The 10,848-nt window shown below is 59.8% G+C and overlaps 1 protein-coding gene across 3 annotated transcripts in view; it reads left to right on the top strand.

The window, feature by feature from the left end:
• Nucleotides 1-9,905, top strand: part of PIAS4 (protein inhibitor of activated STAT 4) — a 31,651-nt gene extending 21,746 nt beyond the window's left edge. For all 3 annotated transcript variants that reach the window (NM_015897.4, XM_011528060.3, XM_017026868.2), the window contains 4 exons: nt 3,619-3,692; nt 3,939-4,099; nt 7,893-8,023; nt 8,135-9,905. In NM_015897.4, the coding sequence (NP_056981.2) occupies nt 3,619-3,692; nt 3,939-4,099; nt 7,893-8,023; nt 8,135-8,394 (626 nt within the window). In that variant the 3' untranslated portion in view covers nt 8,395-9,905. The remainder of the gene's footprint in view (nt 1-3,618; nt 3,693-3,938; nt 4,100-7,892; nt 8,024-8,134) is intronic.
• Nucleotides 9,906-10,848: the final 943 nt, after the last annotated feature.

A 10,848-nucleotide genomic window follows, 5' to 3' on the forward strand; every position in this document is an offset into this window, starting at 1 on the left:
TGGGAGGAAGACGGGCGGCGGCGGTCTGACCTCACGTTGGTGAGGCCCCGTTTAATCTTTTTTCTTTTTCTTTTTCTTTTTTTTTTAGAGAGTCAGGGTCTCTGGGAGGTAGAGGTTGCAGTGAGCTGAGACTGCATCGCTGCACTCCAGCCTGGGCTGCAGAGCGAGACTCCACCTCAAAAAAAAAAGTGTCTCGGTGTATCGCCCAGGCTACAGTGCAGTGGTGGGATCGTGGCTCACTGTAGCCTCTAACTCGGGCTCAAGCCATCCTCCTGCCTCAGCCTCCTGAGTAGCTTGGGACCACATGTGTTCACCACCACACCCAACTAATTTTTTTTTTTTTTTTTTTTTTTTTTTTTGAGACAGAGTCTCACTCTGTTGCCCAGGCTGGAGTGCAATGGCACGATCTCGGCTCACTGAAACCTCTACCTCCTGGGTTCAAGCGATTCTTCTGCCTCAGCCTCCTGAGTAGCTGGGACTACAGGCATGTGCCACCATGCCCGGCTAATTTTTTGTATTTTCAGTAGAGACGGGGTTTCACCTTGTTAGCCAGGATGGTCTTAAGCTCCTGACCTCGTGATCCGCTTGCCTCGGCCTCCCAAAGTGCTGGGATTACAGGCGTGAGCCACCACGCCCGGCCCCAACTAATTTTTTAATGTTTCGTAGAGATGGAATCTTGCTGTGTTGCCCAGGCTGGTCGTAAACTCCTGAGCTCAAGCAGTGCACCTGCCTCAATCTCCCAAAGTGCTGGGATTACAGTCTTGGCCACTTTCGCACCTGGTCTCTTTTGTCCTTGTAACAATGAAAACAATTTTTTTTAAGTGACACGCAGAGCAATTTTAAAAGAAAGCCTGCCGGCAAGGCGCAGTGGCTCACACCTGTAATCCCAGCACTTTGGGAGGCCGAGGCGGGCAGATCATGGGGTCAGGAGAGCAACACCATCCTGGCTAATATGGTGAAACCCCATCTCTACTAAAAATACAAAAAATTAGCCAGGCGTGGTGGCAGGCACCTGTAGTCCCAGCTACTCGGGAGGCTGAGGCAGGAGAATGGCGTGAACCCAGGAGGCAGAGCTTGCAGTGAGCGGAGATCGTGCCACTGCACTCCAGCCTGGGTGAGAGTGTGAGACTCCATCTCAAAAAAAAAAAAAAGCCTGCCAAGCCTGGTAGGCAAATCAGTCCTCACCCCAAGCAGCCACGCAGCACAAAGCCAGCGTACAGCAGTTAGCCCTGCCTGGCGGCTGTGTGGCCTCAGAAAGTCGCTGGCCTTCTCTGGTGGCCACTGTCTTCAGGAGAATAGATCTGAGCCATCTTGAGGGCACCTGGACATCTCTCTGGACCCCACATGCTTGGGGCCCAGGCCTCAGTGGGCTCTGCAGGCCTGTCTTATGGAGAGGCTAGGCCTAACCTGGAGTCATTTGGAGCTGGGAGTGGGAGTCAGGCAGGTGGGTGAGGACTGGGACCACCTGCCAGGCTGACGAGAGGGCGGTTCTGGGCCAGCCGGGTTTGCTCGCACCCCCTTCCCGAATGGTGGCTGTTTTCAGGTGGAATCTGGGCACCACCCCAGCCCCTTGGCAGAATGTGGGCCAGAGGGTCTTCCAGCTGCCCCTCCTAGCTGCCCAGGCCCCTGTGCCCAGGCCAGAGAGTTCCCCATGAGCACTGCCCTCCTGGCACAGCCAGGCCCAGGCCTCTGGTCCCTGTTCCTGACCACCAAAGGGCACCTCCTTGCCTGGGTGTCCAGAAGCCTGGAGCAGTGCTGGCACTGCCAGGGGCCTGCGAGCCCCATCGTGTTGAAGCCTCCTGTGCACTCCAGCCCCCCAAGTCAGGAAAGATAGCCGGCAGCACCCCCTCTGCAGAGCAGGACGTGGAGGGTGAGGGGTCCCTCCACGGAGTCCGGCATCCTTGGCCAGCCTCCTCCAGGCTCGGGGATGGAGGGCCTGGCTATGTACCCGTGTGACCAGTGGGGACACTGAGGCACAGAGTGGCAAAGTTAGGGTTCTGTGTCCTGGGTTACCCCGCCCCACCTCCCTCTTCCCTCAAAGGGCCCTTTTTTCAACCGCCCCCGACCTTCCCTGCCTGTGGGGACATGGCCAACTTGAGGGAGGAGGCTGGGGCCGGGCAGGCCTCTTCTAGGCCCACGGGGTGGGGGCCGGGCTTAACTCCTCAGTGACCAGAGCCCGCAGTGCTGGGGGCTGTGGGGTCAGGCTTCCTCTCCGAAGGGGTCTCCTGCTGCTTCCCACAGCCGGCCCCAGGCTCAGCCTCTCTGTCACTGGATTTCTTTCTTGCTGCACCTAGGAAGTCCTCACCTTTGCCTCACTTGAACCCTTCCTGCTGCGCACGTCTCTCCATACACAAAGGAGGGAGAGTTTGCTTTAAAATCAGATGGGCACCTGCATCCCCTCCTAGCTGCCCCTTTGCCAGGCTTGAGGGTCCACCCGGGCACCGGGTAGCCAGAGCTGGGATCCAAGGATGGAAACTCAGCTGAGGAGTGAGCGGCTGGGGCAGCCTTGGCTCAAGCAGGGGAGCTGCTGGGAGCCAGCACGTGGCTGCCACCACGTCCCCACGGGAGAAGGAAGAGCCCACTGCTCCACACCCCGGCTGGGGGTCTGGGTGGGGGTCAGGAAGGAGGAAGTGGCTCCCAAGCGGGCAGAGATAAGTGGTGTTTCAGGCCAATAAGGGGTGGTAGGGGCATTTCCAGGCGGAGGAACGTCAGGACAGCTGGGGGGAGTGGGGGGGCAGGCTGGCACCATCACTCTGGACCCCAAGTCACTTGGGCAGGTGGCTTCCTGGAGGAAGCAACACTGGTCCACCAGGCAGCTGAGGGCCAGGTGGTGGATGGAGAGGCCCTGTGGGTTGTGGGCCAGGGTGGCCTGCCCCCCATGGCCCAGGGCTGGGGTCTCTCCTGAGCTACCCATGGATGGAGTTTACCCTGGGATGGAGCCACATCCCAGAAGCCTCAGGAGGGCAGCCAGGGTCCCTGCGTGAGTTTCCTTCTGGCTGTGGGCCTGCTGCCCGTCGAGGGGAGGGCGGCGCCTGCCTCCAAGACTTCATGTTTCACATATGTTTCCCCATGTTCCGTGCAGCTTGCTGGCGGGCACCGTCTTTTCCTTTAAAGAAGCAGCTACACTCCTGTCTGCAGGCTGCCTTGGGGCGGTGCTGGGGCTGGGCGGCAGCCGCTTGCTGGCTCACAGCCAGGAAGCCCCAGGATCCGTCTCCCAAAGAGTCCCTGCCTCATTCCCCGCTGTGGCCTTGGGGATGGTGCTTCGGTGACAGAATGAAGTCACAGCAATGACTCTTTCGGTGGCTGTGTTGCATGAAACTTGCCAGAAAAGTCCCATGGGTCATAGTCCACGCAGGGTGGGGGAGGCCACATAGGCCACCTCCGTGTGGGGGCTTCGGCTGGGTCTGTGCTGTGCCCAGGTTGTGGTCAAATCTAATGGTGGTTGCCACCCGGCTTTCTCCAATCCCTCACGGCCCCGAGCCACACAGCGAAGCTTGGGACTCATCGTCAGGGGCCTGTTCTGGGAGGTGGACGTCAGTGCCGGAGAGAACTCGAATCACAGCCCCGCGCCCTGCTGTTCCCACCCTCCTGACGGTGTCTTCCGTTCCCTCCCCACAGTCAAGGAGAAGCTGCGCCTTGATCCTGACAGCGAGATCGCCACCACCGGTGTGCGGGTGTCCCTCATCTGTCCGGTGAGTCGGGGCGCGGTCCCCTCCTCGAGGCCTCTCCTGCGGCCGGCCTTCCCCCCTGGCGGCCCTGGGCCCGGGGCGGCTTGGCTGGGCCGTGAGCCTGCGGGGGCGAGGCTGGTCTTCGTCCCCTCCGTGTTCCTGAGGCATGAGTGATTGGAGCGAGCCACAGGATGGAGCTGGGGGTGAGGGGCACCGGGCAGGCGGGCACAACAGGAGGGGTGCCCTGCTCACGCAGCCCCTCCCCCACAGCTGGTGAAGATGCGGCTCTCCGTGCCCTGCCGGGCAGAGACCTGTGCCCACCTGCAGTGCTTCGACGCCGTCTTCTACCTGCAGATGAACGAGAAGAAGCCCACCTGGATGTGCCCCGTGTGCGACAAGCCAGCCCCCTACGACCAGCTCATCATCGACGGGTGAGCCCGGGGCCCCGGGGAGGGCGGCCGGAGCCGGACATCCGTGGAGGTCTCGGTGGCACCCCGCTTCCTGCAGACCACATGGTGCCCCAGCAAGACACAGCAGTGGGGGCACATGGTCCTGGAGCTTTGGAAACCCCGGGCTGCGAAAAGAGCCGGTTTCTTTCTCGCGGAACTTCTCAGAGCCTTTGCTATGCAGGTGACAGCCACGTAGCTTAGGTTGCAGAAGGTGGGCTCCGGTCCACCCCGCTCCCACGTGACCTCAGGCAAGTGTGACCCTGAGCTCCAGGAGTGTGGTTTGTGCCACAAAAAACTGAGCCAGGTCGTGCTTTCACACGGCGTTCACCCCAGGACGCGCAGCCTTGGGGGTGACCTCCTCACAGAAAGGCAAAGGAGGTGGCGCCTCCTGGAGCACTCTGGCTACGCCATGCCCTTCCCTTCCTAGGTGGCACAGCTGTGGCCAGGCATTCCCCAGGCCACAGGGGACAGGAGGACAAGACCTTTCTCCCTGGTGGAAGGCTCTGCCCAGGGCTTAAGTTTCCAGAAACTGAGCCCCGTTGTCTGTGGTGCCTGATGCGGCTCCTGCCCGGCGCCGACCGCGCCCACCTCGTCCCCAGAGCCGCCGGCAGGGCGCGAGGCCACAGCGGCACAAGCTGGCGCCCTCACAGGCGGGAGCAGGCCCTGCCTGTGGGGGTGGGCCGGGTCCCCAGCCCTCAGGCATGGCCTCAGCGGACTGTGCAGGTGAAGGCAGGGCTGGCCTGCCTCTGGGGTTGTAGATTTCATCCCCAGGTGGACCTCCGGTTCATGCACTTGTCCCCATCCCAGGAGACAGACCTGTGAGCGTCCTCAGTTTACAGACGAGGAAACAGGCTCAGAGGAGGCAACCAGCAGCTGGAGCTACCCCGGCTCACGGGGCCAGGCTGAGACTTGAACCCAGCCTGAGTCTGGGTCCCCTCTGTGGAGGGCTGGGTGGCCACCCCCTTGCATCCCAGCTTCGGGTAGAGAGAGGAGTCCTTTGGGCCGGGCACGTGGGCTGCCTGAATGGCTGCTCTGTTCCCAGCCTGACAGCTGTGCAGCCGGGTGCCCGCCTTCCCCCACAGGCCCGGAGTGGGGCTTGGGCTTGGGGTGGCGGCAGCTCTCACAGCTCCAGGGCCACCAGGGCTGGGGCAGGCAGCTGTGTCCCATGCAGGCCTTGGCCTCAGCAGCCCATGGGACTCGGTGTAGCCAGGGAGGCTTCCTGGAGGAGGGGTCCTTGGTTCATACTTTGTTCCATGAGCCCTATCACCTCTCTGTCCCTGGCTCTGAGCTGGGTGACCCCAGGGTCCCCAAAAGAGCCCCGTCCCAGACCCTGCCTTCAGAGTCTTGTTCTTGGCCAGGGGAGCGGATAGAGGAGCAGAGCCAGACATAAACGTTCCCGTTGCTGTGTGTGTCTTGGGGAGGAGGAAGAGAAGCTGTGGGGTGGGGCTTTGGAGGGTGAAAAGCAGTTTTGCAAGCAGGGAAGTGGGCAGGCAGGGCTGTGCTACGCCTGGGGCGGCCCTGGCACGGTGGGCTCCGAGCATCGCCTCAGAGAGAGCTCGGCGGGGCGGAGGGGCTGGCCTGGGTGAGAGCCTCAGAAAGGGTGGCCCAGAGTGGGACGAGGGCTCTCCTGTGTGATGAGAACGATGCCACTGCGGGTGCCTGGGAGCAGCTGTAGCCTTGACAGTAACAGGCCAGCCTGGGCCCTGCATGGACCCGTGGGGCAGGGGGCCTCTCCTCAGACGCCCCCCAGCCACTGCACCTTTCCCTTCCTGCGGGTGGGGAGACTGAGGCCCTTTGGCTAAGACGGGTTGGGGAGCAGAACCAGGGCCTGCCTCCAGTTGGCCTTGTGGCCTCAGGGAACTCGTTCCCTTCCCGAGCCTCTGTTTCTGCATTTGTAAAATGGGGCTGGTAGGACCTCCGAGTAAAAAGGCCGGACACAGTGGGGGTGCTCTGGAGAGGCTGTGGCTGGCATGGGCGTGGGGAGCCCGCACTCTGCTCCCATTGCTACCCTCACAGCCTCTGCAGGGGCTTTGAGCAGCCAGCACCTTCACTCCAGCCTGTTTCCTGATCTGGCGGGCACACAGTGCAATGTGAAAGCAGGTGTGCGTGCACACCCACACCCGCATGCCCACACATCCATACAGTCCACACCATCACACACACACACCCACACACATCCATACAGTCCATACCATCACACACACCCGCACACATCCATACAGTCCACACCATCACACACACACCCGCACACATCCATACAGTCCACACCGTCTCACACACACACCCGCACACATCCATACAGTCCACACCGTCTCACACACACACCTGCACACATCCATACAGTCCACACCATAACACACACATACAGTCCACACCGTCATACACACACACACACATCTGTACAGTCCACACCTTCACACATCCATACAGTCCACACCGTCATACACACACACATCTATACAGTCCACACTGTCACACATCCGTACAGTCCACACCGTCATACAAACACACACACATCTATACAGTCCACACCGTCACACATCCGTACAGTCCACACCGTCATACAAACACACACACATCTATACAGTCCACACCGTCACACATCCATACAGTCCACACTGTCATACACACACACATCTATACAGTCCACACCATCACATGCACACACATCTATATGGTCTACACCGTCACACACACACACATCTATACAGTCCACACCTGTTACATGCACACATCTATACAGTCCACACCGTCACACATCTATACAGTCCACACCGTCATACACACACACGTCTATACAGTCCACACTGTCACACATCCGTACAGTCCACACTGTCATACAAACACACACACATCTATACGGTCCACACCGTCACACATCCATACAGTCCACACCGTCATACAAACACACACACATCTATACAGTCCACACCTGTTACATGCACACATCTATACAGTCCACACCGTCACACATCCATACAGTCCACACCGTCATACACACACACATCTATACAGTCCACACCGTCTCACATCTATACAGTCCACACTGTCATACACACACATCTATACAGTCCACACCGTCACACATCCATATAGTCCACACCATCATACACACACACATCTCTACAGTCCACACCATCACATGCACACACACATCTATATGGTCTACACCGTCACACACACACACACATCTATACAGTCCACACCGTCACATATCTGTACAGTCCACACCGTCACACACACACGCCCACACCCGCATGCCACACATCCATACAGTCCACATTCACGTATGCCCATATGCATCCATTCACACGTGTGTACACATGCTCACACACACACATTCATAGACTCCACACATGCACACGTGCACACACACGCACATGCTCGCACACATGCACAGATACACTCACGTCCACACACGCTCAAACATGCGTGCACACCCGGAGGTGCCCAGAGGGGCAGGGTGGGGAGGACCCCTGCAGCTGCCACACTCCCTGCTCTTGTGGGTAGTTGGGGGCCACTGGGTATGTGTGTCCATGCCCCGTCCCCCCGGCAGTGCCGTGCACTGCAGACCTGCCTGGGGCTCAGCACCTGCAGGGGCCTGAGGGCGGGGGAGGGAATGCGGGGTCCCTGGACCCCTGCGGTCGGGGTGGTGAGGCTGCTCTTGCAGAGAGAAGTGGGGAGTGCCTGGCTGCATCCGGGAGGGATGGAGGGCTGGGGAGTTGGGGGGGTGGGGCACCTCCAGCCCCGGCGTCAGCTGTCCGCCTCGCCCCAGGCTCCTCTCGAAGATCCTGAGCGAGTGTGAGGACGCCGACGAGATCGAGTACCTGGTGGACGGCTCGTGGTGCCCGATCCGCGCCGAAAAGGAGCGCAGCTGCAGCCCGCAGGGCGCCATCCTCGTGCTGGGTGAGTGCCTCACCCCACCAGCCGCGCAGTCCGCAGCCAGGGCCGCCTCAGTTTCCCCATTTATCAGTGGTTGCATCCTAAGTACCTGCACCCTGTCCCTGTTGCCCGTAGGCCCCTCGGACGCCAATGGGCTCCTGCCCGCCCCCAGCGTCAACGGGAGCGGTGCCCTGGGCAGCACGGGTGGCGGCGGCCCGGTGGGCAGCATGGAGAATGGGAAGCCGGGCGCCGATGTGGTGGACCTCACGCTGGACAGCTCATCGTCCTCGGAGGATGAGGAGGAGGAGGAAGAGGAGGAGGAAGACGAGGACGAAGAGGGGCCCCGGCCCAAGCGCCGCTGCCCCTTCCAGAAGGGCCTGGTGCCGGCCTGCTGACCCCGGCCGCACACTCGACTTTCCTGGTGCTCACCACGCAGAGGGGCACGGGCCAGCCTCGGGCGCAGAGGGAGGAGTGACCTTTCTTTTTCTTTTTATTGTCGTTCGTTTTGTTTTTCCACCCTTTTGCCTGGCTCCTGGCACCTGTACCTCTGGACTCTCCTATCGGGGGATTAAAAAAAAAAGTAAAATGACAAAAAAAGATACAAAAAAGAAAAATGAAACAAAAAAGTCAAACTCTTAAAAACAAGGCCGGCCACCCACACAGCCGCCTCCCCGGCTGGAGTCCGAGCCGGGAAGGGGTAGTGGGCGGGAGGGACCAGGACGCCGCCCCGCGCCCTCCCCTCCGGATGCCCCGCCGCCCGCCGCCCTCTGCCCACGACCATTCCAGCCAGTGCGCGGGGACCCGGGCGGCGGGCGGTGGGGCGCAGCCCCTCTCTGGCGACCACTTTGACGTTTGTCTCTTCCTTTGCTTTTTCTCTGCAAATGCATCCTCGCCCAGAGACCCTCACGCGCCGAGCAGCGAGCGTTTTAGCCGAGAAGCCATGGAGTGGGTTGGGGCGGGGAGGGGCAGTAGGGTGGGGGGATGGGTGGGCAGGATGGGGGTACAGTGGGCGGCTGGGGAGGGTTTAGCCACAGATGTGTTGTATTTTTTGAAAGTGCAATAATTTGGTATTTTGAAGACCCGGCGTGTGGTCAGGAACCCCCGGGGAAGGCGGGGGCCCAGGGTGCGGCACCGTGTGGCGTGGGGGGGTCTCAGTTTTCTAGCCAGCTACCTCGGTAATTCCAATTCAGGTTAACTTCCCTACGGAACAGCACAGATGTCCACAGATGTCCACAGCTGCCGCCGCCGCCGCCGCCACCATACCCCGGTCCTTGGGGCATGGGTTGCGGTCGCTTCCCAAGGGGCAGCAGGGACCCCGGCCACCCCGGCTCTCGGTTTGGGTTGATTCCTCTCCTTTTTGCTCTTGGTTTTCCGACGGGTACGAGGCTGGCCCGGCACCCTGTCCCCCGGGAGCCTCACTCTTCCAGCAGGACCAGACCAGGGGCCTCCTTCCTGTCCCCAGGCGTTCCCGGCCCCTCGCAGGCCCCACCCATGCCCTTGGCCTCAGGGTCCAACAACTGGGGGAGCTACCAGGGCTCTGCCTTCAGGAGCCCACAGCTGGGCACCCCCCTTGCCCCGCAGGAGACCGGGGCGCAGGCGGGGCACCGGCCTCACCTGGTTCTCCAACACCGCTGCCTGCGGTCTGTTTTGCTTTTGTCCTCCCCAGCCCAGAATTTTCCTTTGTATAAACAGAACTCCTAGTCAGGAAGCAATATCATTTCAGGTCTAAAGAAAGGGACGTGCATCTGGCCGAGGGCAGTTCAGTCTCACTGCAGAGCCCGCAGCCCGCTGCGCAGCTCGGCCCCTCCCGCCCGCACGGGCAGCTGAAGGCCGCTGTTTTCTAATATTTGTATTCTAATTTAATTGTTTTTAAAAAATGCAAATAAAAAAGGTCGAGGTGAAGCCATCCAGGCGTCCGCTTTTCTGTGCCCTGTGTCTCTTAAGTGTGTACCCTGTAGTCGGGGGGCGGAGTTGGGGGAAGGACAGAAACTCAGCCTCACCCACATCTCTCTTTCTTGGTTATTGCCTCAGCTTCAGAATTCAAAAGGTGCTGCTCGTGGTCAAATGAGGCAGATTTTTATTTATTTACTTATTTTTAATAGAGACAGGGAGTCTTGCTGTGTTGCCCAAGCTGGTCTTGAACTCTGGGCCTCAAGTGATCCTCCTGCCTCAGCCTCCCAAAGTGCTAGGATTACAGGCATGAGCCACCATGCCCGACCTGAATGAGGCCAGTTTTACTGTGTACTGTACTGCCTGGGCCTGGTGTCCACCACGCTGGGAGAATGGGAGAAGGGACTTGGGCTGTACATGGAATTCAGGTCCCAGGATCGTCCATGTCTCTGGGTGGCCAAGACGATACACAAATGTTTTGCTTTTGTAAGGTGAAAAAAAAGGGCCGGGTGCAGTGGCTCACGCTTGTAATCCCAGCACTTTGGGAGGCCGAGGCGGGTGGATCACCTGAGGTCAGGAGATCGAGACCATCCTGGCTAACACAGTGAAACCCCATCTCTACTAAAAATACAAAAAGCTGGGCGTGGTGGCGGGCGCCTGTAGTCCCAGCTACTCGGGAGGCTGAGGCAGGAGAATTGCTTGAACCCAGGAGGCGGAGGTTGCAGTGAGCTGAGATCACGCCACTGCACTCCAGCCTGGGCGACAGAGCGAGACTCCGTCTCAAAAAAATATATATACAGACAACCAATGAGCACATGAAGAGATGTTAGGGATGTGAGTCAAATGCACGGTGAGATACCTGTCACCCCCACCAGGACAGCTAGCATCAAAAACAGCAGCGAGGGTCAGGGAAGCTGCAGTCCACATGGCTGGGGAAGATAACGTGGTGCAGCCCCTTG

The sequence above is a fragment of the Homo sapiens genome, chromosome 19 (assembly GCF_000001405.40).
Source record: "Homo sapiens chromosome 19, GRCh38.p14 Primary Assembly".
NCBI classification, from domain to species: Eukaryota; Metazoa; Chordata; class Mammalia; order Primates; family Hominidae; genus Homo; species Homo sapiens.